The 26,586-nt window shown below is 44.1% G+C and overlaps 1 protein-coding gene across 25 annotated transcripts in view; it reads right to left on the reverse strand.

Moving 5' to 3' along the window:
- Positions 1-26,586, reverse strand: part of NTRK3 (neurotrophic receptor tyrosine kinase 3) — a 396,989-nt gene that overhangs the window by 110,780 nt on the left and 259,623 nt on the right. For 5 of the 25 annotated variants that reach the window (NM_001007156.3, XM_047432602.1, XM_024449934.2 and 2 more), the window contains 2 exons: positions 10,696-10,830; positions 6,834-8,933 (listed from right to left, as the gene is read on the reverse strand). The exons of 18 other annotated variants lie outside the window; for them this stretch is intronic. In NM_001007156.3, the coding sequence (NP_001007157.1) occupies positions 8,815-8,933; positions 10,696-10,830 (254 nt within the window). In that variant the 3' untranslated portion in view covers positions 6,834-8,814. 25 annotated transcript variants of the gene reach the window in all.

Here is a 26,586-nt window from a genome sequence, read left to right on the forward strand (position 1 = left end):
GTGTGCTGAGTCTATTAATAGATATTAAATGAAGAATGTTTTGTGTTTAATTAGAATTGGAAAGAGGTAGAATAAGGTTTGTTTACAGCAGGACTTCTTGGAGCCTTTGATATCCTAATGCAAACTGTGAAACTCTAAGAGCTGGCCATATTGTGCAACATTCTCCAAAGTTCTCTGATGGATCCTTGGCATATCATGAGACTAAGGAGAAACATTGCTGCAATCAATAAAAAGGGGAGCACTTGATCCTTACAACATCATTTGTCTAGTAACTGGAGGAAGAGAAAAAGATTTTTCTGCAAGTTGGGGATTTCAAATTAAGGGAGAACCATATTGCAGGCCCTGAAGCTCTGCCCAGAAAACAGACCAATTTATGCAGGATAACAGTTGGTCAAGTGATTGACCCAATAAAATTATTAAGATGGCCAAAGACACCATCCTGAAAATGCACAGTGGGGTTATTCTGGTCTTCTTAACGACTAGGTTGGCCATTTGGTATCAGAGGTACTGTGTAGCAATCTCCTGTTATGGTAGCAAGAAATGCCAAATTGACAGCCATAAAGATTGAACGATTCTGTGAGTCATTTAAACATGAACTTAGAATTTAAATTCTCCCAAGAAGGACATTCTCAGAATATGTTCTATATTGGTGGTGCCTCCCCTGCTGCCCACTGACAGTGGGAGGAAACAGACTCAAGTTCTCCCTGGCCAGCTCTATATCTGGCTCCCTCTGAAGCAAAAGGCCTCAGTGAGGAGCTATGGTCGCCGGTTGGGGGCAACCAGAGAGCATCACAGATCCTGGCTGTGCCCTCCTGGCCAGGGTGAGCTGTCAGGAACTAGCAGTCTTGACAGAAGTTGTTTGAGATTTACTCTCATGTTCTCTGCCATGTGAATTTTCTTTCAGAATTAATAGCAAGAGCATCCAGAGATTCTGACAGAATATAATTAATAGGCTAGATTTAGTTAGTATCTAGCCAGTACTCTGGAATGTTCCTTCTGTCACCCTTGCCTTGACTTTGGCAGCAAGAGGGCAGAGCTTGGAGACTGCTTGTCTGACCCAGTGCTGAGAAAGACTGGAAATTAGCCTTTGTAGGTGCAGGGGTCCCCTGCGTCACAGAGGCTAAACCCTTTCAGCTTAAAACTAGAGGACCCTCCATGTCATGAGCTCCCGACACGCTCAAGAACCTAGCTGTGAGAGGTAAATATTTCCCTAGGCCTGTGCAGCTGCCAAGGACCATGTCACAGGCTCTGTAGACCTGCCCCATCCCTAGAAGAGCACATGTGCTCCCCACAGCTCCACACCCTCTCTTTTTAAGAGAAGTGCGTTTTTGAAGGTCAGGATTTCATGACTTTTGACCAAAGGCTATTGCAAGCCTTGCAGAGCAAAGAATACCACAATGTGATTTTTAAACGACATTACGAGGTCCCAAACAGACTGAAGGTAGTGTGAGCTTTGGAGTGAGAAAGTAAGTGGTCTATCAGAACTCTGTAACAGAGGTATCACCAGGCCATATTAGACAGCAGTGAAGTCACTTTCCCCTTTGCCAAGGCTAAGTCCTTGTCCTTCTCACTGCAGAATGAACTTGAGGGCAAGGGAGGGGAGAATGTGTCTTTTTCAGGGAAATAGGCCACTTGCTCCAGTGAGGTCTCCAAAGGCAGAGCTAGGCTTCATTGAGCTGCCATGATAACAGCACACAGGTGGCAGAAACTGAGGCAAAGACAGCCATGAAGACAAGCTGGTCATCACTGCAATCCACAAAGGCTTCCAGCATTACTTACCAAAGCCAGGTTTGGTAGTGTTTTCTGAGGTGACATGATGTTCTGTCCCTCAAACTTGGAAGAAGACAAAAGTCAGGGACTGCCATACTGGAACGATGCCTTTGGGCAGCCTCACTCCTTGCTCTGCAAACCCTCTCCATAGCTGAGCAGGGGATTTTGACCACCCCTCCAAACTCAGACATTACTTGACATTACTCTTAGGGTGTGAAGTGAGAACTGCTCGAGGGTTTTGGCTCTCAGAAAAGCCAAGCTCCATTCTTCTTGACTTACGCCAAAGGCCCCAGTCCCCACCCATAGGTAAATCAAAGCCTTAAATCATCTATTTAAGAGAAGCTTTGAGAGGATCCTTTTGGTAGAGGGTCATGAGAAAATACCATGATCCTGAGAAAGCCAGGTGCCCATCTGGTCCCATATGGAAGGCTCATGTATCTTGGTTTGAAAGTCCCACCAGAGCCCTCAGCTAAGATTTCTCTACAGCTCAGTTCTCTGGGTAATTTGCAACCCTGCCGTTTTCCTCTACCTCAGAGTTCCAAGTTCCTTCCCAGATACAACCCACACAGACCTGGGCTGGAGGCCTTTGATACCAAATCTGAGCCATCAGTACCTTCTACGTCCCTGTGGGATCTGTGCTCCTCAGAAGTGCTCCTGTCTTTCTTGTTCCCTTCTCTCAAAGCAGAGCATGCCCCAGTCAAAGGTTTGCCTCTGATATCTTCCTTGTCCCCCTCGTTTTTGTCATTCCTCGCCATCCTGGCCCAGGAGCATACAGAACCTTTGAGCAATGCATTCACACCCACCCAGAAGTCAAGCATAATGAGGAGAGAAGATCTAGCTCTCTCAGGCACAAACACCCAGATATTTTGTGATAGAAGGAAAATGTGCCAAAATGAAAAGGGGCAAAAACACAGAGGGGTGTTAGACCTTATCACCCGTGCAGAAATCTCTTCCCTTATCAAGATTTAATTTCAAGGGAAACTGGGGTCACTCTATGCAAGTTTTATCCACTGAGTAGGAGAAACTGGAACAAAAGTCCTACCCAAGAGGGCCTCAGAATCCTGATGGAATTTCAGAACCACCCAAAAAAGCAGACAAGGGACTTATCTCTTGCCAGCATATCTCCTTCAACTCACTTTTGGGTTCAAGTAGGGTTGAAGAAGGAGTCTTATTTAGCTCTGGAAATATACTGTCAGATCTAGGCTGAGGTTTTCTTGGGAGGTGGGAAGTATAGGGGGTGGTAACAGTAGGATTTCTAAAGGCAAAATGCAGAACCAGAGCTATCCAAGGAATCTGGAGGCTGCAAGCAGTTTCGCCCACATCAGCCAGCATTAAAGATTGGCAATGTGGTGGGTGGGGGAGAGCTGGGAGAGAGGAGGAGGAGAGCTCCAGGCCCGTGCTGGACAGTCTAGATGGAAGCCAGACTCCCCATTGTTCTCCACCTTCCTCCCGTCTCTGCTGTCATGCTTAAGAGTTTTCCCTGGGCCCTTCACAGAGAAGACTCCAAGCAGCCAGCATCGCCCCTCTCCCCCTCCCTGTCTCTCCCTCCCTGCCACCTTCATTTTGCTCTTGCTTTCAGAGTCATGCTGGCAGCAATGTGCGAGTCTAGCCAGAGCACAGGAGTCAGTAAACCCTGAAGGAACAAAGGCTCCGGCTCTTTGCCTAATCCATGTCTGGCTCCGTGCAGAAAGCTACACAACAATGAAGTCGTCCTGCATTGATCTGCCCGCTCCTGAGCTTTCCCGCGGCATCCAACCCTCCCTTGCTGCCTCACCATTGTATCTGAGATGCTTGATCCTTTGCTCATGCCTGGTCTTGACCTGAGGGAACTGGGACGAGCCAGGGGATGTGTCACAGCCCAGTGCTGTGCTGCGGTCACACCTGTGGCTGGGGAGGTGGAGGTGAGGATGTGGCTGCTGGGAGCTTGGCTGCAGAAAGGGATTCCCGCACAAAAGAAGAGACAGAGGTGGCTAGAGGTCAGATTCTTGACTTCCAAATTGAGCCTGATTTGTGTTTGGTCTTTTTAGGGTGAGCATTGCATGGCTGAGCTTGGACATATCAGGAGGTCTTTGAGGTGCGTTGAAGAAAGGTTAAGTGACAGTGGGTAGTCAGACAAGGCCCTTTCTTCTACTACCTTCCTGTCTGAAGCTGCTCACCCTTGCCCAGACCTGGGCAGCCTAACCTGATATCCTAAGGATCAGGTTGGTCTCATCCTTTCTTCTACCACCTTCCTATCTGAAGCTTCTCACCCTTGCCCAGACCTGGGCAGCCTAACTGCTATCCTAAGGATCAGGTTGGTCTCATCCAACTGTATGATGAGTCCTCCCCAATATCAAAAAGGCCATCATTGCTTGGGAATCTCACCAACTGTAAGACATGTGATTAATCTCAGATCTAAGCCCAACCATGCTTTCATACACCCCCAAGTCACTAAATGCTACAATGAGAGGAAAGAACGTTGCAGATGTTCTTTTCCAGTCTTTAAAATCACCCTGTCCCAAAAGTTCCAGAAGGAAGTCAGGGATGGTGCTCATCCCTGAAGACCCCTGAAAGACTTCTCTGTCTTAGGAGTGGAGTGGGGTTGGAGGGGGGAGCACCTAGGTGGTGTTTCACAATCATAGCCTTCCAGGAGCAGAAGATGTGCTACTTTAGGGGGCTGCAGAGTGGCCAAAAGCATTTTGAGGTGTCAGGCAGTCCCCCTGTCAGTCCTGGTTCTGCCAGTTTCAAGCTGTGGAAACCTGAGCTAGTTATTCAATCTTTCTGAGCTTCAGCTTCCTTGTGGGTAAAATCTGACTGGTTCTGAGTAAGTGCTTCATAAGTTACATAGAATTATTACTATTAATGCCCCACAGTAAACCCATTCTTGGGAGGTTGGCAACCAGTTCCAGGACCTCATCATGTAATGCTAGTAAAAAAGTCCAGCCTCTCCAGGGCATGTCCCTGGAATGTGTTAGATCGAATTTCACCTTGTTTCTACAAGATCTTATTGGTACAGTTGAGTTTCTCATTCTCTGAGCTTCAGAACCAGCACCTGTCAACCAAGTCTCTAGAATGAAGATCCAGGGAGCGCCTGGCAAGCACCCTGGGTTCGTGAACTGAGTCAGCTGTCAATCTGTGCAGCAAAATCCCGCAGGATCAAAATGTAAGCTTAAGGTCTGACAAAGCTACTGTGAAATCCTGTTGGTGACATTCGAATGCAGGAGGTCAGGGAGCTGCAGGACTGGCTGGTTCCCTGAGCCACCCTAAGCTGAGGCCAGTCCAAACTGGCATCTTTCTGGGCTGAGTTCAGCTCTCCGCATCTGCCCTATACCAGCTCTGACTTCCCTAGAGGCACCAACCCTGGGGTAAATGCCATGAGACTTCAACACCTAGCAGTAAAACATGGAAAACGGAGGCCTAGACTCCAATCGCAGCTGGTTCCTCATTCTGCCCAGCAACCTTTCCATAGATCCCCATAGTCGTCCATAGTCTCTTCCCCGTCAATTCAGATGTTCCAACTCTCCTTGGGTCTTCTCACTAGCAGCACAAGGCCTTGCCTCATTCTTTATAGGAAAAATGGAAGCCACCAGACAAGAACTCCCTCACTTCCTTGCCCTATCACCTTGAAAAGACATTCCACATCCTTTCCTCTTTTTGCCTCCTGCTCTATGGGAAGAGCACTCCCTCCATGAGGCCAATGCTATCCCTTCCTCCTGAGCTGTGGATACTTTTCCTTCCCATATTCTCAGGGGCCATCTTTATCTATTATCTCTTCTCCCATACACTGATAGGCTCCAAGCATCAGAAAAAAAGAAAGCTCAAATCTCTCCTATATTAAAAATGAAAGTTCTCCCTCGAACCAGTGCATGTCCTCATGGTCCCCAGGACAGCCTCAACCCTTCAGGCATCCCTGTTCCAACTCTTTCTCCTTGGAACCCTCAAGAAGAGATAAATGCCGAGCTTGGTCTACCCCTCACCCAGGCCACTCTAGAGAGCAGGAGCTTCCATTTGGCATAAGGGGGTCTCAAACCAAACTAGACTTAAATAGAAGATAAAGCAACTGAGGGTATATAGAAAAGCACCAACCTAGCCTGATCAACTTCCTGTCAGACTGGAACGTGAGCTCTTCCACATTACTTTACTTGTCTCATCTCTACTGCCTCAATGACTGAGCTCCATCAGGGATTACTGGGGCCCAGTGAAGCATTCAGATCCACCCAGGAGCCTTTTCCCGGCCCGCATTCTCCACTCTTGCTCCATCTCTCCTGCATACAGGGCCTCACGGTGTCCTCTCCTCCTGAAAGGAAGAGGGCAAGTTACAGGGAGCATTTCAACTCTTCTAGCTGTGTCACTGCCAGGGTCCAAGGGTGCACAGATGTGCCAGTTCATCTAAGCATTTTACTCTTTGGCCTCTCCCTCCTGGCAGCCCACATGAAACTTGCCATGAGAGTGTGGCTCACCTGAGTGTGTGCATGAAAGGGAGTGTGTCTCTGAATGACAAGTGTGTTGACCTGTACGCCCAAAGCCCCGTCTTTCCTTGGGCAAGGTCACTTTCCCAACATCCACAGGGAACATACAAAACCACTCCATCCTAGGGACAGCCCCACTGGCTTTGCTGGTGCACCAAAGATAAAGGATCCCCAACCCCACTCTCAGACCCCCATATATCAGCTCTCAAGAGAAGATTTCTGTGAGCCTTGGCTGCTCAGACAACAGAACATTCCCCAGCTACCAAAGGAGTGAGGGTCTCAGTGGCCTGAGTAGTGTCTGTAGAAGTCAGATTTGAATCTTGCTTTCACCTCTCACACTGTGTGACCCTGGATGAACCATTCAACCTCTCTGAGCCTCTAATTCTTTCTCAATACGATGAAAAAGCACTTTACTGTATGAGCCTAAGCTATCTGGAAGACTCTCAATGAAAGCAACCAATGGAACAGATTGTGAACACCTTTGTAAACAAAGAACTTAACTAAGAAACTTCTTTAAAAGAGTAACAGGAAAACAGGAAAAAATGCAGGTAACCTGGAATTTCTGTATTTTGAATGTTTTTGCAAAATTTCCAAATAAGAGGTCTGATTCAGTCATTTCATTAGAAAATAAAGTGTTTATTAAGAAACTATACACTGAACACTCCTATAAGTCTCTGTGGAAACACAACGCCCCATTGTCATAGCACAAGGTGAGGAAAATGGCAGAATAAAAGATGCTGGGATGGATGGAGCCTGGGAGGCTGGAAATGAGGTAATGATTTACAATAATTAAAAAACATCATCCTCAAGCTTACTCCTTAAAGCCACACTTGGGAGGAGGCCCTGGACCCAAAGCATCAGCAGGGCACAATGGGGAACAGCCTGACATGGAGCAATGGGGAGCAGGATGAGGAGAGCTGGAGGGGGCGAGATAAACACACACCTGGAGCCCTGGAGAGAACCTGAACTCCCAGGTGATACTCTGGAGGCTGCCCCAGATACTGGGCAAGAACTTGGAAAGCCTCATGTTTTTAAACCCCATGGAGGCATTTGCAGAATCGGGCTGGGATCCTGACACGAAGAACCACCATCCACAGGACCCAAGAAGTAAAACCCTTAAGTGGGAATCCAAACTCCCAGTTAAATTTGCCAAAGGCATAGACTCTATTCTCTACTAGTGTGCAACACCACCCCAAAACAACGGTGGGTTAAAACAACCACCTTTTTCCCCCACAAGCCCCCCACAGGATGCTCCCAGTTTCATGCTCTCCACCATTAGGTGGGCAGCCTATGCTGACTTCATACAATGGAGGCCCCATGGGCCAGTGGAGCTGGGAGCCAGAAGTCTACTCCACCAATGAGTCAGCAAATACGGGAGAGTTTCAGGCCCTACAAATGTGCCTTTCCTACTGAAGAAGGGAAAGTCACCCCCTTCCCTCTCCTCAGTGGATCAAGTTGAAAATGGGGGAAGCGAGCCCCCTCTTTGGGAGAGGGTGGCCATGGAGTAAGGCATGAGTCAAAGCAAGCAAAGTAAACACACATATTGACCAGAGAACAGGAGGACACTTCCATTGGTGCCATGAGAGGGGCTGGAGGAGGCCAAGTTTTACTTCTCTTCCCCTTCAGTTCATCTTGACCTTGAAATGCTGATTCCATTGGGTTCCAAAAGTTCTCAGAGTCAAGAATAAGTGGAAGTAGGGGAAGAGAGCCAATCCCGGGATCATGGGCTGGCAGGAAGGGCCTTTGTCCCTGATTCCCTTGGTCCCTTGTGGTCCTAGTAGGATGGCCAGTTCATGGGTAAAACCTCCTGCAGCCAAAGCTTGTCGGAACTGCAGATCTAAGGGCCCAGGAAGAGCCTGGAGAAACTCTCCTCTGCAAGGAGTTTTCTAATGTCACACTCATTGTGAGCCGTTCCAGAGAGAAGAGGAAGTAGGGGGCAAGTATGTCCCAAAAAAGGATGATTTTTCCACCGAAAATAAAAATAAAAATGTAAAGTGATTGGTTTCCATTCTTTCCTCTGAGACCTAACTTGGTGCCAATACTTGAGCCTGGCTCCCCCTCCTCTTACCGCGCCGTCTCCACCTCTGCTTAGGTGCTCTCTGTGACTCTTCCCCACTGGAGGTTGCAGGGCGACGAGGTCACTAAGAGGACAGCATGGTATCCTGGGAGAGCCAGGGAGACCCCACGCTTCCAAGCAGGGAAAGTGAGGCTGGAGCACGGCTGGACTTCATCAGGCTTTCTTGTGATGGTTAGGTTGTTTTTGTAAAGCAAGAGAATGGCTAGTGTATTTAAAAGATGCTCCTGGTGCACAGGTTTTTAATTCTCTTTATTGGCTCTAAAGATAGTGGCAGGAGCTGCCTCGTAGGCCGGGAAAAAAGGAGCACAGTGATGATTGGAGGGAAGGGGCAACCCTGCCAGTGGTGGATGGGGGAAAACACCCATCTGGTGGTGTTAAAGGGTGCCGGGGCACTGGTGGCTCATGCAGTTTCTACTTAGCATCCCTGGATCCAAAGAGAACAATGCCTAGAGCTTCCAACCTCTCAGAGGGCCCAGCCTACCAAGGTGACATCAAAACAAGGAGGCTTAAAAGGAGTTTTTAAAAGCCATGACGTCCTTTGCTGAAATAAACATTGACATCCTCAACATAGATGCCATGGTTAAGAGGCTTGGAATGTCCGGGAAGGCTTATTGGATTCAACATAATTTCTCTGAAACCTATAAAAAACAAAAAGAAAAAAAAACAGAAAAAAGCAAAATAAAGTAAAAACCAAAACCCCCAAAGAAGATCAAAACTAGGAGGGGAAATAGAGAGGGAGCTTGAAAGGGGAAGAACTGTCAGCAAAAGGGAAGGATAGGAGGAGGGGATTAACTTAAAACCCTGCATGGTCAGAGAAACTGGAAACACTCCATTTTGCTGCAGCCTCCACTGAACTGAGGAAGGGAAGGGAGCAAAACCTTTGGGGGCTTGGCCTTGGATTGTCATGGAAGAGGAGGAGAGGTCTCATCTAAGTGGGTCTCAGTCTATAAGCATCTTTCTGAAAGGAGGAGACCCTGACGATGAGCTGAGGGGTGTGTCGGAGAAGGGGTATGCACTGTAGGGTCACTTAGGGGCTAAGGGATGGGAGGAGAAGGCTATGCTTTCCCAGAACTGACACTCTTTAAGGATACCAGAGGGGCATTTCTAATTCTAGGAGCTAAAATTACACAGACCACTTCTGACCACACCAGGAGGTGGGGGTGCTATACTCCCAAGCCTACAAGCTCTTTCTCATTGACCTTTTCGCCTCACACCACAGGTCTGTGGAAGGTTTAGAGAGTAACGGCTGATCTCTGAGCCTTGCCATCTTTCCAAATCTTACAGGGGAGGAAAATACCCTGGAGGAGTAACACTGGTGGCCCCGAGGCCACGTGCTGCCTCGAGCAAGGAGGACTTCCATGACAGCTCATTTCCTTTCTGGCCATACAGCCATGGACTGAGTTAGGATATCCTGAAAAGTGGGAGTTCCTAATAAAATTTCCAGAAAGATGTTGTTCAATCAACTACAGATTTTAAAAGTGTGTGTAAAGAGTGTGTGTGTGCATTTGCATGTGTGTGTGTTTGCATGTGTACATGTGTTTCCATGTGTGTATCTGTTTGCATGTGTGTTTGCATGTGTATTTGTGTGTTTGTGTGCATCTGTATGTTTGTGTTTGCATGTGTACACCTGTGTGTTTTCATGTGGATGTGTGTATGTGTTTCCATGTGTGTTTGCATGTATGTGCGAATATATGTGTGTGTACACATATGTGTGTGTTTGAATGTGTATGTGTGTGTGAATATGTGCACAGAGTAAGCCTATCTTTTTATGGAAGCTATGCTCAGGAATGTAGAGGTCATAAGGGGCCTCTGGACATTGGGAATATGATGGGAAAAACTTGAAACAAAATTTGATTGCATTGAGACTTTCCTGTCCTCCTGCCCAGGACATGCTATGGACAAAACAGTATTGAGTCATTTGGGGTGCTGGGACCCCTTCCTCTGAAGGAGGTGGGGTCAGATTTGTGAAGATAGAGGAAACCTTCCTTGCCTATGACATCATGTTTGGAGGGAGGCTGTTTCAAGGTGAGACATTTCTGAGACAGCATCCCTGCCCTGACCCCAGATAAAGGTTATCTGGGGTATGAAGGAAAAGGGAAGGAAGGCCATTGGTCTGGGTAGCCTGCTGAGAAAGTTTGTGACACCACTGTCTCTTTCCAGGCCATGGTCCTCTCCTGCTTCTCCCATAGCCCTTACCTAGGCCCTATGAAGCTTCCTCCCCTGGAAGACACTCCTTTAATTTAAGGGATTTTTTTAGTACCAAATCCCGTGCTGGGCACCTAGTCGTACCTCAGTCCACGAAATATATGGAGGCTTGATGAGTCTTAAGGTCTTAAGAACCAAAATTGGTTAGGGGAGGGATCTTTACTGCATACAAAGACGTCAAAGGAGGTAACTCACCATGTGACCTTGGGTAAGACACTTCCCCACTCTGGACCTCAGGTTCCTCATATATATAGTGAGTTGATGGGACTAGATGATCTCTATTGTCCTTCAAGTTTAATATCCCATGATTGTCTATGTTTGAAAAGACCCCTGGCAGAAGAGGCAGACATGGGGGAATTAATGGTCAGTATTAAACCCCAAGTGCAAAAAACATGGGAAAGTATTTTTCTTAAGTGCACAATGCCAGAAACAGAAATCCAGGTTTCTCAGCTCCTGTACCCACTCTGCTGTGCCTGTAGTGGCAGCTGGTTTATTTTACGCATAAAATCTAGATCCTAAGAATCTCACCCTGGCATTATAGAAATGGCACAAGTTAGAGTCAGAGAAGAAAGATTCACCATCACCATGAACTCTGTCCTGCACTTTTCCTAACATATTTGCCCCCCATTTTCCTTCTTGGACCAGAATGTCTCAAAATGGTGCCCATCATTGCCATTCAGAGTGTCATTCCTGGGCCTGGATGGATGTTTCTTCTGACTTGGGAGATAATCCTGGACCCAAGACCCTCTTTCTGGCTTCTAATATCCCATCAAAAAAATTCAGCTAATTTTCAAGAGGAAAGCAATGTGACAAGGCGGGGATGATGAGGAGATGAGAGGAGGTGGTGGTGTTTGGTTCCTTAAAATCTTCCTTGCCATTGTTAGGGCATAAACCATTGGAAAAACAAAAGCTGTTAGCTCACTGAAGACCTGAAGACTACAACTTCTATAAAGAGATATCATTGTAGCTTCTGAGGATGAAATCTCCTTTGGAGACCATGCAGCATTTGTGGGCCCTGGAAAGATCCGTGTCGGATCCATTAAAGACCAGGGCCAAGCCCGCCTAAGTCTCTGCCAATGTCCCCGAAGCTGCCTTCGTGAACATGAGCCCTTTCCCATATGAGCCGGGATCTGAAGTTTGTTTTCTCTGGAACTCTTTCCCAGGTGGAGTCTTTCCAAGATTCTAAAAGCTGAAGCCTGATAGCATAAGAGGCACTGCTCCAAAATCCTCCATTCCTCTCCCTCTGTCTCAGAACAACCCCTGAGCAGAAAGCAAAAGGCATTTACTGGGGGAAGAGCAGGGGAGCCCAGAACCACAGTGGACACTGGTAAAGGGGTAAATGGTGAAGAAAAGGCTGAAGAGGGGCAAATCAAAGGCATTTCCAAAGAAGGCCTTACCCACCAGGGGCCCACAGACCCCGCTACATCTGACCTTTTCCTCTGTCTGTCAACAGCTTTCCCCAAAACATTCAGCACAAAGGTACCTGTAGGCTCTCTGTAATTCAGAACAGAGCTGGGTCTTCAGGGATCTTCTAAGAATACTTTCCCTGAGAAGCAAGCCAGAGGCTCTGGGATCTTTTTGGGAAAGGGAGGGACACTGTAAATGGAGCTTAGGGGAGAAGGGGCATTGAGCACCCATACGATTGGATGAGAGGTTCTGGAGCCAATCCTATTGAGTCAAGAGCTGGTTGAATCTCTAAAGGCAAGTCCTTTATATTGACTGCAGCAAGGAAAGGTCAGTTCCCATGGTTTTGCCACATAAAAAGACATTCAAATCTGTTTTTCTGAGATTCTTGCAGATTCTAATTCTCTCTCCCTTGCTGGGGTTTCACCCCTGTGCTCTGGCCTTGGGATTCTGGAGCTACCAGCCCAGCACCTTCCAGGGAGAAGGTATTCCCTGCATCTTCTGCCTACACTCTTTCCACCTGACTGTGGATTCTCACAGACCTCTCCTTCTCCTTCTGTCTCTGCTTCTTCCTTTTGTTATCTGAGATGAGACTATTACCTAACTGCATAAAGTAGTTTAGGTTATGGTTTAGACAACAGTCCCAATACCAAATGCAGTTCTATAGAATTATTTTCAAACATCCCCTCTTCAAATGTATTCATTCATCATCTTCAAGTTGCTACATCACAGTAACCCTTAGCACTGACATAGCACTGGCTGTGGAAAAAAGCATTTTGTACCCTAGCATGGGCTGAAATACACAGGAGTGCTGGCGCTGGGGCCCTGGGTGGTAGACTAACAGGGAGCCAGAAGGCAATGCAGTGGGAAGGGCATCCCACCCCAGTCAGGGTGCCACACTTTCCACAACTTTCCCACCTTTCCCCCAAGAGGTAAGAAGAGGTGAGATGTTTTTCAACCCCATTGCAGGTAGGCATGGAATGGAGCAGGGAGCCCCGAGCAATACCCAACTATGCCAATCGTACCATCAGACATGTTGCTGATAGCCCTGGAATCCATAGATCTATATAAGGGAGTGCCAGTGACAGGTATCACCTACAGTTAGTTCTTTATACCTCAACATCCCCAAAAGGTGGATAGTATTAACTCCACTTTACAAGGGAGAAAACTGTGCCTTTATAATATGGAAAAACAGCCCCAAGTTCACTTTGTGGCAAAGTCTAAATTTGAATCCAGCTCTTCATACCTCCAAAGTCCTTGCAACTAACCACTTTGCAATACGGATCTCATTTGTGGAAAACCAATATCCAGGAAGGGGGTGAAATGGAGGTCAAGATAGTGATGGTAAGGACGTTCTCTTGGGGGAACAGGGCTCTCACTCTGGCCACTTCAACAAGTTCTAAACAGAGGGCAGGGCTTTCTTACCTTATTAACAGCTTCCTTAGTTAGGAAGGTAAGCAGCACCATACCCTGTCATTCCCTCCCCTGGCCAACCCTGGTTTAATTCTATCCCTGGTGGCTTCACCCCCACCCTCACAATGACACTTCGCATGCACTGGGACCTTCCAGATAAGGAAACCCAAACTCTGTCTGGTCACGGACCCCTTCATTTTGATGATGTTTCAGGGAGTTCAGCCTAGAGAGGATGAAAAATGACCACATGAACGTGAGGTAGTAATGAGTATGGAGAGATGGATAATTAAAATATAGTCATACCCTAACCAAGGGTTGTGGAATATCTGAGAATACCCTTGGTAAGCCAAGCATGGTACCCAGTGGAACTCTTTCCTGAGCACCCACCCCAGGCCACTGTGTAAACAAGCATGGACAGAAACGAGTGAATCTTGGTGAAGAAAGGATTCCTCATAGACACATGTCTCTTGCTTCTTTTCTTGCCTGTATGGTGGCCCTTCTAAGGTTGTGGGAAGGTGATCATCAAAGCATTCTAATGGTGCCTGGGCTATGGTTATGATTGATTTGTTCTGTATCTTTTCCTTGGGTGTAGTTATCGCTTTTTTGAGTCTAAGTTCTTTCTTCTCATGCCATCGGATTCAATAAAAGGATGGCGGCACTGGCCGAGGTGAGTGAGCCCCAAACGCCTAGGCTTGCTGGCCACAGTCTATGCTGCTTTAAACTTTCAGGTTATTTCTTTTATTACTCTGAGATTGCAAACCTAACCCACAGGCCGTATATGGCCTTATGATGTGCCTTTTATTTTATTTTTTAACACAAATGGTCTTTTTAAAAATTTGTTGCTTAGTTGCCAGCATTTAAAACTTGGGAGATCTCACATTTAAAATATCCCCATTTCTAGCTTCCCTTGAAAGTCCGAGAGTTCTGGCAACCCTGGGCCAGAATTACTGCACAGTGATAACCCACTGCGGTAGCCACTCAGTTTATACGAGGTGTGTGAGTGTGTGTTCTCCAGCTTGCCATATTCTCCACCAATTCCTATTATCCTTCACCCCTGCACTTATTTACAGTACCTACATGGCTTGTCTTTGCATTTGAGATTCAAACTGTACAATAAACATTATGTTTATTGTACTAGGTTATAGGCTGTGCATTAAGACCAGGAAATCCCATCTCTGCAAGCCTTGTTGAATGCCCCTAAAATACCAAACTTATGCTCCCTCTGGTCATGGCTAACAATGATAAAGAAGTGGCTGGAAACCTACAGCAGAGGGACAAACCTATCTCAGAAGGGGGAGACAGCTCAGAAACTGAACTATGTGAGTAAGGGAAGCAAGCATGGTCAGAAATCAGGTTCCCAACAGGACACCATGCTGAAGCATAATGCTGGAAAAAGCTACTGCTGGGAGAGAAGGTGGCACTCATGTCATCCACTGGCTGTGTCTTCCGCATTGCCTGACATGTATAAGGCACACGACAAAAGGTTGTTGAATGCCAACAAGCAGGACTTTTTAATATAGCTGTACATTTCATGGGGGAATAACTGGACCCAAAGTGTTCCTACATCCCTATAATAACAAACACATTTCAAAGGGTTCTATACAATATTGAAAGGTACTTAGAACCAAAATGTCCCTGTTGTATACTGTGTAGCTAAGAGTACTGAACTGAGACCCCCAACTTCAGTATGGGCCGCCTCTTCCTATAAAGTCACCTCAATGCTGCTGGGAAAATGAGTGACGAGATTGTCCTGGCCCGCATGCCACGGTTGCCAAGTCTGGTTCCAGCTGTGTGCAGATGCTCAGAGGGAGGGGGCTGAGGCTGAATGTACCCCGACTACAATTTAGCTCATGGCGTCATGCCCACAGGAAGTCACAGGGGGAGGACATCCATGCCTGGCTGAGATAAAGGGGCATGGACCACTGAGATTCTCAGACAAAAGCAAAAGACTCGCTCCTGAAGGGATCTTGAAGGCTCTCACAGCTTGTCCCTGATGAGTATTTCAAGGCTCTAACTCAAAAAAAGGGGGGAGGTGTGCTGGGGGGCCACCCACCACTTGGAATCACTAAGACTATTCCAATGATAAGCTGATCTTGGCTTAAAGGAGTGAAATGTTAGTCCCCAGAGAAAGTGAAAATCCTTCCACTCCATAACATGGGTGAAGTGACCTCTTAGAATCATAATACTTCATAAGCCATGGAGCAATACTAGTCATATGGAAAAAAAATTTCTTTACCATTCTCAGAATTCACTAAATAAGGAACAATTTGTAATAGCTGAGCATCTTCTTTTCTTGCTTAACTGAGAGTAGAGAGAATCTCGGGTATTAATAATCTATCTTCATTGCCTTCCTTGTACTTCAAAATATCTGTCTTTGTATTCAGTATATTTTTTCCTGAGTCTTTTGACTCTTTTCAAATGTTTGAAATATCTAAAATATCAGAAAAGTGTAGAAACTCTGTGCCTACCTCCAGCATTAACAATTTATAATATTTTGATATCTTCTTCTCAAATTTCTAAACAAATAATCCATTACTGCAATGGCTGAGAACCCATGTGAGTTCACATATAACCCTGTTTCTCCTCTACCCCATCACCAGAAGTAACCACTGCTCTGAAATAGCTGATTATCCTTTTCAGGAATCTTGAAATAATTTTGCTGCATATGCATATATCCATAACCAAATTATAGTTTTGTTCTGTGTAAGTTTAAGCTTTTAAAAAGTGGGTATTTTCTAGATTTATCCATGTTGATACATGTAGCTCCCGTTCATTAATTTTAGCTAACGAAGTCCATGATGTGAATATGCTACAAATTATCTGCCTATTCTGCCAACTGACACTTGTTTCTATCTTTTGATTATTCCAAAAAAAGTTGCGATCAATATTATTACACACATATCTGTATGCACATGTGGGAGAATTTCTCCAGAGCAGTAGTTGGCAAACTTATCCTATAAAGGACCAGATAGAAAATATTTTAGGCTTTGCAAACCATGCAGTCTCTGCTGCTACCACTAAACTCTGCCAGTATAGTCTGAAGGCAGCCACAGACAACACATAAACAAATGAGAGTGTTCCAGTAAAATTTCATTTGTAAAAATAGGCAAGAGCCAGATTTGGCCCTTGGCCAATGAGTGATAGTTTGCTGACCTCTACTCTAGAGCTTTTTTACTCAAAGTGCAGGCAAGTGGACAAGCAGCATCAGCATCAGCTGGTAGTTGGGTAAAAATGAAGATGCTCAGACCCCGCTGAATCAACATCTGTGGTTTAATAAGCTCCTCAGGTGATTTCTACGCACAAAAACATTTGAGAAGCACATCTTTGGAAGAGATCCCTAAATTTAGTGTAATTGAATCCTTAACATAATTCTATTGCTAAATGTTTACCCAAAGTATTACCAACTCATATTTCTATAATCACTAAATGGATGAACTTCCTACCCCATCTTCCCATATCAGATATTTTTTCTAACAAACTGATGGGTGGAAGATGTTATCTCCTTGTAGTTTTAAGATTCATTTCCCTAATTACTACTGAGGTTGTACATCATCTCAATAAGGGTTTCCCCAATTAAGGAACTGTGAACTGCCTATTTGTATCCTTTCCTCATTTTCTTGTGTGTGTCTTTCTCTCTCTATCTATATATCTAGACATAGATATATATAGATAGATAGATGTGTGTGTGTGTGTGTGTGTGTAGTTACTCTTTTCTTGATTTGTGGGAGTTTGTTATTTATTCTCTATGCAAATTCTTTGTTATATATATATGCATTGAAATGATGTCATCTCAAGATACTGTTTGTCTTTTAACTTTGTATACAGTACTCATAGATTTTTTTTTAAATTAATGTATTCAAATGTATTCACCTTTCCCTTTATGTTACTTAAATCTGTATGTTAAGAGATATTTTCCTCCTCAATGTCAGGATATTACCTTTTCCTTTAAAAGTACTACGTTTAGGGCTGGACGTGGCCGAGATCGTGACACTGCACTCCAGCCTGGGTGACACAGTGAGAATCTGTCTCAAAATAATAATAATAATAATAATAAATATAAGATAAAAGTACTACGTTTAATAAATCTCCCTTACAGAAGAATTACGAATACTTTACGCAGAGACTCCTCACTCAAGGACGTAGAGTTTCACTTCCCCCCACCCCTTGAGTGTACACTGTTATTGGCTTACTTCCAAAGTATACGGAAAGAGGGAGAATGTAGTTTTGCAGTGGAGAAAACTGACAAACACCATCTCAGCCAGGTAATGAGGGTTAGCATCATCAGTGTTAAGTCATGTGATAAGCATGCACTCTTTAAGTGAAGTGATGAGAATGGCCTTTCACCTCTGTGGTCTTCCTTCCCAATATCCCAACTGACAGCCAAAATTGAGAGATATTCTACATGAAACCTGACCATCAAGGTAATCAAGGACAAGGAAAGTCTAAGAAACTGTCAGAGATCATAGAAGGCTAAGAAGACATGATAACTAAATGTAAAGTGGTGTTCTGGATGTGGTCCAGGAATGGAGAAAGGACATTTGGGGGAAACTGATGAAATCAGAGTATAGTATTGAACTTAATTAAGAATAATGTACCTACACTCATTTCTTACTTGTGACAAATGTATCATGGTGATATAGAATGATTACAATAGGAGAAACTGGATGAGAGATATAAGGGAATGCTCGGTACCACTGTTATAACTTCTATATGTCTAAAGCTATTTTAAAATAAAAAGCTGATTTAAAATAGAAAGTTATACTTTAAATTTTCATTCAGAATTTATAATTTAATGGTGTTTAGGGAAGACGTTGATTTTTGTTTATTGATCCTATATTAGCAAATTTGCTGGACTCCCTAATTAGTTCTAATGATTATTTTATGAATACCCTTTGATGTTCTATGTAGGGTGATCAGAATCTTCACAATAAGGATAATCTGTCTTTCCAATTCTTTTATTTCTTTTATCTTATTGAAGTGGCTAGCATTACAAGAATATTACTGAATAAAAGTCATACATAATAACAAACATGCTTATCATTATATTTTTTTCATGTGTTTCATACTTTTTTTTATTTTTATTTTTTTTAGAGAGGGTCTGGCTCTGTCACCCAGGCTGGGGTGCAGTGGTGCAATCTTGGCTCACTGCAACTTTCACCTCCTGGGTCCAACAGTGGAGAAATAGGAATACTTTTACACTGTTGGTGGGACTATAAACTAGTTCAACCATTGTGGAAGACAGTGTGGCAATTCCTCAAGGATCTAGAACTAGAGATACCATTTGATCCAGCCATCCCATTACTGGGTATATACCCAAAGGATTATAAATCATGCTGCTATAAAGACACATGCACACGTATGTTTATTGTGTTACTATTCACAATAGTGAAGACTTGGAACCAACCCAAATGTCCATCAATGATAGACTGGATTAAGAAAATGCAGCACATATACACCATGGAATACTAAGCAGCCATAAAAAATGATGTGTTCATTTCCTTTGCAGGGACATGGATGAAGCTGGAAACCATCATTCTCAGCAAACTATCGCAAGGACAAAAAACCAAACACCACATGTTCTCACTCATAGGTGGGAATCGAACAATGAGAACACTTGGACACAGGAAGGGGAACATCACACACTGGGGCCTGTTGTGGAGTTGGGGGAGGGGGAGGAATAGCATTAGGAGATATACCTAATGTAAATGACGAGTTAATGGGTGCAGCACACCAACATGGCACATGTATACATATGTAACAAACCTGCACGTTGTGCACATGTACCCTAGAACTTAAAGTATAAAAAAAAAGTCCAAGAAAATAAATCATATAGATCTAGTGCTGACACGAAAAAAAAAAAGAGATTCTCATGCCTCAGCCACTTAAGTAGCTGGGATTACAGGTGCACACTACCACACTTGGCTAATTTTTGTATTTTTAGTAGAGATGTGGTTTCACCATGTTGGCCAGACTGGTCTATAACTCCTGACCTCAAGGGATGCGCCCACCTCAGCCTCCCAAAGCGCTGGGATTACAGGTGTGAGCCATCATGCCTGGGCTTGTTTCAAGATTTTTCACTTTAATTCATTTTGAGTGAAAATAATTTTTTCTGGTTTTCTTTGTTTTTTCCCTTTTCCTTTTCTTCTCACTCATATTGTCTAATTTGTTGCTGCTGTTGTTGTTACCTCCATCTAGCTTCCTGGGACTTCAATTATAAACCAAATCCTATAATAATGACTTGGAGTCCTCCTACAAGGGTAATACTGAGGGTAGAGTACAACAGTCTTCAGCTAGTTGAGCGGCTTAAGTCAGTTCATGGTCTCAAAGCTACAACTTTATCGTCTCTCTCCCACTTCCTCAGGCTCACAGGTTCCTATTAGGAACCCAGATAGGGGTCAGCCACATTATCTTTTCAGACTCTTTTCTTCACTATCCCCACCCCAAGACTTGAAGCAGTGAGTCTAGCTCTGATCCTCTGACAATGTGGAGCACATACCGTTCTGCAGATACCCTCCAGAGCTAAATTCCTGCCCTGACTTTTTGATTCTAGACTTGGAACCCAGCGTAACAATGAATGTAACTCTGCACATCACTTTTTATTTCTGTACCATTTCTTGTTCACAGATTATTTATCTTGTTTTGGGGCCCAGCCATGTCTTTTTATAATTTTTGTCATTGTTACATATTTGGAGCAGAGGAGGAAACTAAAGCACAAACTTATGGTACCATCCTGACCAGAGCCCAATTATTTGCCTTTCTATATTGGAGAAAAATTTATTTTGTTTCCAAAACTAACCCTTTAACTGATACCTTCAATATTATCTCCAACTTCCTTCTTCAATTATTTCCTGTCTCTTCAACATCTTCTGCCTTTGCTGTTATATTCCCTTTTGTACAGAAATCTATATATGTTTATCTCTATCTTTGGGTATGTGCACACATACCAAACAAATGTATGCCCACACTCTCAGTCTCTTACCTAGTAAATGATGGAGCAATGTCCCCCACTTTACCATACCATTTGTTTTCATCCCATTTTCTTAGTTCCTTTGGATACCAACAATTTGCATAACTTAATTCCAACCCTAACCTCCACTGTTTTGCAGATCATTCATGATTACATTCCCATAATCCAAGTTCTAATCCTTTTACAAAACTGACCTCTTGAAGGTCACCAATGGTTACCCCATGACTAGATTTTCTCCACTCTTTGATCATTTTACCTTGTTCATTCCACAGAATGTGGCACCTTGACCATCCCACACCCCCCATGACACCTAGAGTACTGTACCATCCTCATCATTTTCCTACCTTTCTGCTCCCTTTCTTTCTGTTGGCTTCTCTTCCTTCACTGGTCCCTATGCTAGTTTCTCAAGCATCAGTCTTTTCACCCCTGGCTACATAAGGTTTGGATCTCAGACTGACAGCAACAGGATCACCAGGAGTTTGTCAGAAATGCAGCATCTCAGGCTCCATCCAAAACCTACCGGATTGGGATCTGCATTTTAACAGAATCCTCAGATGATTTCTATGCAGAGTAAAATGTGGGAAATGCTGCTCTAGCCGTCTGCTCCTCTCTCCATCTCCCTGTACCCTCCATCATTAATGTCCATCTCCTGTGCGGTGACTTCTAGCCCTTTATCTCCAGCACAAACTTTCTTCTGAATTTTATTCTCACAATGGCAGCTGGCTTCTTGGCATTCCCATTATTGTGCATCATAACAACAAACTCAACATTTCTACAATCCCCATCCCAAACAATTTCCCTTTCTGACAGGCCAATTCTCTAAAGTCATATCATGCTTATAATTACCTAAGTTCAAACTCTTGGAGTCATCTTCATTTCTTGCCAGTGCCTTTCTAATTCCCCATATCAAACACCTGATTTCAATGATTTGTTTTGGAATATCTCATGAACACATTCTTTAATTTAGATCCCCACTTTAGCAAAGCATGGCAGAAAAGTTGAGAGATAGTAACTTTAAGTAAATTACTTAACTTCCCTAAGCCTCAGTTTCCCCTTCTGAGGATATCTGAGGATATCTTTGTCTATCTCCCAGATGCTGTTGTGATTTTTTTTTTTAATTTTAAAGGCACCCAGGTCAGTATCTGGCACATGGCACACACTAGATGATGAACAAATCTTGGCTTATGCTTCCTCATCACTCAACCCTATTTTAGGGCCACTGTTTGGGGGCTTCTTAACATGTTTCCCAGCTTCCAGTCCTTAAGTTAATCCATTTTATGTATTATTGTCCAATCATATCAATAAAAATTCCATTCACCAATCACTCAGAAGCCACCAGTGACTTGAAAGTGCCACTGTGTGATGCCCAAACAGCTTAGGCTGCCATCCTGATATTGACATACTCTATCTCCAGCCAACCATTTGGTCTCATCATCTACTCCTTCCCTACTCACACTCTCTTGTTCACATAAACTCTGACCACACTGTATGCCTTTCAGCTTCTGTCCTCACTTCCACAGTATTCCACTGTCCTGAATGCTTATCTTCTAATTTATTTTTCTCATCCAATTGCCGTTCAATCCTTTCACCCCCAGCTCAGACTCCACTCTCTGTATAAGCCACTTGGCAGTTAATTGTTCATTTCTGTTTGATAATTCTTCTCCTCTTACCTGGAACTGTTTCAGACGCATACACTACAATGAAATGGTTCATGGATTTATTTTTCATTTCTTAATAAGACTATTTGGAAAAAAAAACCAACAACCAATATCTATAAGCACTTTCACTTGCCCAGGCAATGAGCAAAGTGCTGTGCATGGATTTTCTAATCTGACCTTCTCAGCATCCCTATGAGGGGAGAACTGGTATGGACCCTGGTTTGTGGATGCAGAAATGAAGGGGCAGAGATGCTCAGTAATTCATGCCAAGTTGCCCTGTTAATGGGAGGCAGAGCCAGGACTTGAATCCAGGTTTTGCCATCTCAGCTCCCATGTTCTTAACCCCCTCTATATGTAGATGCCAAGGGCAGGAAACAAATCCAACAGCTCTCTCTATTTCCCATGTGATAGATACGGATTTCAGACAATTGAAGTCTTGTTTTTTCAGAACCATGTAATCTGACTTGTGTGTGTGTGATCTGTACAACAATATGCCACATTATCTTCAGGCTGCACTACAGTATCTTGGCACTTGCAAAGCATTTCTCCTTCTAAGGACTTTAAAAATGATTATGTTACTTTCAAAATAACTCTGAGGTAAGGAAAGAAAAAAAATATCTTAACATCAATGCCTCCTACCCTGACTTGGCCATATGGCTCCTGGAACCAACATCTTCAAGTCCCAACTGCTACCCCAGGGTGCTCAACTTCCCTTGGAGTCATGGCCGTACCATTTAGGATATGATGAGCAAAAGACAAAAGTCAGAATCTGGCAGGAAATGCAATCAGTAAAGTCCACATTCCAGGGTGGTATCAATTTTAAGCAGATTATCTAAGATCAAGATGTGGCTAATAGGATCAGATAGCTGGCTCATTCTAAATTTATGGCCCTAAAAAATCAAATAATATAAACCTCTGAGTTGGGATTTTTTGGCTCTGAATTCCAAGATTTGTGATGATGAAGAAGTTACTGAAGGTGATGAAGGGGAAAAGAAGACGGAGGAAAGGTGTCCCATTGTACATCAGTAGAGAAGAATAGTTCTTCACCTTTCTTTGGGTCCTTTTTAATTTGATGGAAGCATACTCATACACAGAGACACACACACAAAATACTCAGTTTAGGCAGTGCAGGTGTCATCACCTCCCCCAAAGGCCTAGAAAAAGAGTGGAAGATATATACTACACAGCTCCCAAGCATCAGCATTTTGCAGTGCCAGGCACTATAGCAGATACCAGCAAATGTATATCAAATCCCTGCTTGCACTGTCCTCCAAATCTCCAAATAACCAACACACATTGAGGGCCTCCTATGCTCATGGCCACTATGTTCAGAGCTGGATAAAGGGAGAGGCAATATCAAGATGAGTAAGAAGAGTAAAAAACAATGACTGCAAAGAGGAGCTAAAAACCCAGTGCCAAGAATGGGAGTCTATACCTCTGTAAGCTTACCTAAAAATAATTTTGCAAATACCTAAATATCAATCTTCCAGGAGCTGAGAAAGTAAAAAGGAAAAGAGAGCATGGGAAGTTTAGTCATGGGGTCCTAAAACAGATTATATTATGGTATTTCACTGGTGAGTGGCAAGAGAGAGGCATACACCCACAGCTGAGGGATTGTAGTGAGGGAGTGGTCATAAGATCACATGCGGGTGGGAAAGAGGCAGTGAGAAAAATGGTCACCAGGCAGAAATGCATGGGCTGGGGAGCGGGAGACATTCCATGTGGCGGGAGCAACAGACAAAGCATAGCAAATAGGGAACTGTTAGGGATTGAATTGTGCCCCTCAAACACCATCACCACAGTACCTCATATTGTCACCTTATTTGAAAACGGGATCTTTGCAGATGTTCAAGTTAAGATGAAGTCACTAGGATGGGCCCTAATCCAATATTACTACGTCCTTATACAAAGGAAAAATGTGAACACAGATAGATACACACGCACAGAACACCATGTGAACATGAAGGCAGAGATCTGCATAATGTGTCTACAAGCCAACAAATGTCCAAAATTGCCAGCAAACTACCAAAGCTAGAAGAGGGGCCTGGAACAGATCCTTCCCTAGTGCCTTCAGGGGGCTCACAGCCCTCCAGACACCTTGATCTTGGATTTCGGGCCTCCAGAACCGAGAAAATAAATTTCTGTTGTTCTAGGCCATCCAGTTTGTGGCACTTTGTTACAGCAGCCCTAGCAAACTAAAACAGGAATTGTTTCTTCCCTGAGAAGGAAAGTACATAATTTGGCAGGAACATAAGGCAGGAATATGGGAAAAATGGGAAGCAGCTCAGTAAGGGAGATTAGGAACACGATGTTGCAGGACTATCTGTGAGTAACTCCATAAAAATGGGACATCACCAATCAAGTGACAGTGCTAGAACTGCAGCTGTGGAATTTAGATGTGGGCACTGGTATGGATCAATAGATAGAGATGAAGACTGACAGATGGATAGATGGATAAATGAAGATGACAGATGTTGGGTCAATAGATATAGACATGGATAGATACTTAGATAAGAGATTTAGATTAAGTGATGTACCTTCAACTAATGATAATGGCTTTTCACATTAATGTTAAAAATCAATTTCCAAATGTTGAATTCTGTTTCCCACTTTCAAAACAATGTCACATAGGTTTAGGAGAACAAAAGTCCTGGAAATTCATAGGAATTACACACCTGGGAAAGCAGAGTGTCCCATGGAGCCCAGAGAGCACCTGCTCAGGTAGACACACCCAGCCTGCACTCACCAAATCTGTGCCTTAGCCCTCACAGATCTCACCCCTAGTAGAAACTGCACAACCTAGGCTGAAACAGTCAGACTGTGACAGAAAGAACCTCAAGGAATAAAAGCAGTACAGGGAGAGTGCTAGGGCATTCCTAAGAGGTAGCAATAGTAGGAGACTTAGCTTTCTTGGAGGAGACAGCTGTTGCCATGAGGCCTAAAGGAGACATAAGATTTTCTCCTAAGAAGATAGGAAGAGAAGTTATTCCTGGAATAAAGCACCACACTGACAGCCATAGTGGGGAAGTACAAGACACACTTGGGGAAGTGCAAGGAGTTCCTATTAATAAATGGAAATGATTAGCTTGGGGGCAGATCATGAAGGAACTTGAGAGTTTTGGGCAATGGGTGAGTCTTGAAGGATTTCAAAGAGGGGATGACCAGAGAAAAGATTAAAAGGAATGAAAGATGAGACAGAGAAAGGTCAGCAGTGGCTGGTCTAGCTAGGGCAGGGGCCAGCAAGCTTTCTCTGTCAAGAGACAGACAGTAAATATTATAGGCTTTTCAGGCCATACGGTCTCTGTTGCAGCTACTCAACTCTGCCGTTGCAGCACGAAGGCAGCCATAGACAATGTGCAATGAATGAACATGGCTGAGTCCCAATAAATTTATTTAGAGACATTGAAATTTGAATTTCATATAATTTTCACGTGTTACAAAAGATGATTCTTCTTTGAATTTTTCCAACCATTTAAAAACATAAAAACCGGCTGGGTGTGATGGTTCATGCTTGTAATCCCAGCACTTTGGAAGGCTGAGGCAGGTGGATCACCTGAGGTCAGGAGTTCAAGACCAGCCTGGCCAGCATGACGAAACCCCATCTCTACTAAAAATACAAAAATTAGCCGGGCATGGTGGCACGCACCTGTAATCCCAGCTACTTGGGAGGCTGAGGCAGAAGAATCACTTGAACCCGGGAGGCGGAGGTTGCAGTGAGGTGAGATCGCACCACTGCACTCCAGCCTGGGCGACAGAGAGAGACTCCGTCTCTAAAAATAAAATAAAATAAAATAAAATAAAACCATTCTTAGCTTAAGAGTTGTACAGAAACAGGCTGGATTGGGCTTGCAGGCTATAGTTTGTGGCCCCCTGGGTTAAACGGTGACAGTACCATCCTGGACACGTGATACATTAGGGCTGGGATCGCTGAAGGAGAACCAAGAGGATGGATGCCAGAGGGATGCAAAGGTAGAGCTTATGCAAATCAGAAACTTGGCATCAGATTAAACATAGGGGGTGGGAGAGGAGGCAGTGTCTGGGCTGCTCCAGGGTTCTCCAGTGTGATTATGACAAGACCATTAGCAACACAGGAGAGCAACGGAAAAGAAGTTGGTGATGTGTTCAGCACAAACTCAGGACAGCATGCCTGCAATGCTTAAAGAAGTGTGGCAATGCTTGAACTATGAATTAGAAACCTCATGCCCTTGACTTTATTTCATCAGACCTGAGGCAAGCCACTTGCTATTAAATAAGGCTCTTCCAGCCAGGCATGGCAGCACACAGAGGAGCTCTGAGTTCCAAGAACTGCGGTATACTCTACTCAGTTTAGAGCCACTTTAGACTTGCTAAGATCAGTGGAAGAACTGAGGTTAATGTTAGGTCAATTTATTTTATAAACTTTTAGTGTGTAGATGAATTCTTTTGGGACCTCACTGTGCCTATTATCCCCCAAATGCACTCACTGCCTTAAGAGGCAGGAGATACAACAACACATTCAATGCCTAGCAGCCCTGTTTCCTCTTCCTAAATGAGGAGCAAAGAGTAAGATGTAATTGCTGTGACTAACATGGCAGTGTAGTCAAGGGGAATGTAAGCAAATTCTAAGTTTCACTTCCAGTTCTGCCATTAGGCAGATGTGGATCA

This window comes from Homo sapiens, chromosome 15, assembly GCF_000001405.40.
Source record: "Homo sapiens chromosome 15, GRCh38.p14 Primary Assembly".
NCBI classification, from domain to species: Eukaryota; Metazoa; Chordata; class Mammalia; order Primates; family Hominidae; genus Homo; species Homo sapiens.